The sequence below is a fragment of the Homo sapiens genome, chromosome 4 (assembly GCF_000001405.40).
Source record: "Homo sapiens chromosome 4, GRCh38.p14 Primary Assembly".
Classification (NCBI taxonomy): domain Eukaryota; kingdom Metazoa; phylum Chordata; class Mammalia; order Primates; family Hominidae; genus Homo; species Homo sapiens.
This window is the reverse complement of record NC_000004.12, coordinates 66,276,377-66,278,158: the sequence shown is the minus strand read 5'-3', so window position 1 is coordinate 66,278,158 and position 1,782 is coordinate 66,276,377. Positions and strand designations below refer to the sequence as shown.

Genomic DNA, 1,782 nt, shown 5'->3' with positions numbered 1-1,782 from the left:
TTACTAGGTTTAATATCTGAGTGAAGAAATAGTCTGTACAACAAAACCCCATGACAAAAGTGTACCTATATAACAAACCTGCACACGTAACCCTGAACTTAAAAGTTTTTAAAAAAGAAAAAGAAATAGAAAAGGAAAACATTTATATTATTAATGATGATAATAGCGCTGCTGCTGATTAACAGGATACTTATTAATCTCATCTATTATGTGGGTTAGTAAGCAATGCCACAGAGATTTCTGAAATGCTAACCACTTATGAATAACTTCCCAATTACTTTTTCCTTCATCAACTGCTGGGAATTTTCTGTGCATTTCTTTGTTCCTCCTCATATTTTATTTTATCTTCCCATTGATTGACCTAAAACTTCATCCTTCTCAATACCATATGACCAAAACAAAAATGAAGTGAAAAAGTGAACAATATTAGAGTATTGACTAATCTTTTTATTAAAAATATCAAAAGCTGAAAAACTTAATAACAGGACTGATGGAGTTAACTATATCATTCAGATATGGTGCACACGTGTCAATCTGAAGACTACTTTGCTCTTCGTGACTTCAAAAAGTAGCACACTGAGACTTCTCTATGTAATTTCCTTTTTTTAATGTCCTAGGATGCTCATATAACCACAGTGGAATCTAATGCATATACACGTCTTCTTTTGAGAGCTATGTGTACATTAGTGAGGCTTTAGTTTTCTTGGAAACATTATACAGTGAAGCAACCAAATTGTTTCAAACATTGCTGATTAACAGGAAACTTGGAGAACATGAAACTTGTTACCAAACTAGGAAGTGTCCGGGAGTATAATTTATATACACCACAATATGCTGCAAGTGTGTTTCATGTTATCCTCATTGTTCCTTCCATGCATCTTCTTTTTAAAATGCAATCACTCCTTAAATGAAATTTTTTCTGGAAATATTCATCAGGAAAATATTACAATGATGTCCCATAAATTTCGGCCTCATTTCTAAGTGGTACTATAAATTTTTGGCTTTATCTTTTCATTTGAATGGTATTTAGAAAGTCTTCTTAAGTATATTTGGAATCCGAAGAGCTTCATCGTTTGAAATGTACTGTTAAAGGTTAATGACTGTTAGTCAGGGTTCCTAGGGAGGTAGAACATATAGGATATGGAGATAGTTACATTAGAGAAGATTTATTAGCGGAATGGGCTCCCATGATTATGGAGGCTGAGAAGTCTCATGATAGGCCATCTGCAAGCTGGAGACCAGGGAAGCCAGTAGCACGGCTCAGTCCAGGCATTCCTCAGGTGGTCAGACTTGGACTGAGCCATGCCAACTGGCTTCCCTGGTCTAGGCAATCCAGTGGTATGAATTCAGTCCCAGGTCAAAGGCCCCAAAACAGAGCTGCTGTTGTGAGCCCCAGAGTCCAAGAGCTGGAGGAACTGGAGTTCTGATATTCAAATGCAGGAATAGAAGAGCCTCTTGCTTTGGAAGCAAGAAAGAGAGCAATAGTTTGTCCTTCCTTTGACTTTGTTTTCCATCTGGAACCCCAAATAGGATGGTTCCTTTCTACACTGAGGGAGAATCTTCCTCACTCAATCCACTGACTCACATATCAATCTCCTCAAAAAACACCCCCCCCGACACACCCAGAAACAATACTTTTCCAGCTAAGTATTCCTTAATCTAGTCAAGTTGACACCTAAAGTTAACCATTGCTGATTTTCACATAATTATTAAAAATAAAAATCATTGAATGAAGTTAAAAGTAATGAATGTATGCATGAAAATGATACAAATAATTCAATT

At 36.3% G+C, this 1,782-nt stretch overlaps 1 non-coding gene across 1 annotated transcript; it reads right to left on the bottom strand.

The window, feature by feature from the left end:
• Window positions 1-1,230: 1,230 nt before the first annotated feature.
• MIR1269A (microRNA 1269a) lies at window positions 1,231-1,335 on the bottom strand. The gene has a single exon (NR_031673.1). It is a non-coding gene; the product is annotated as a microRNA 1269a (primary transcript).
• Window positions 1,336-1,782: the final 447 nt, after the last annotated feature.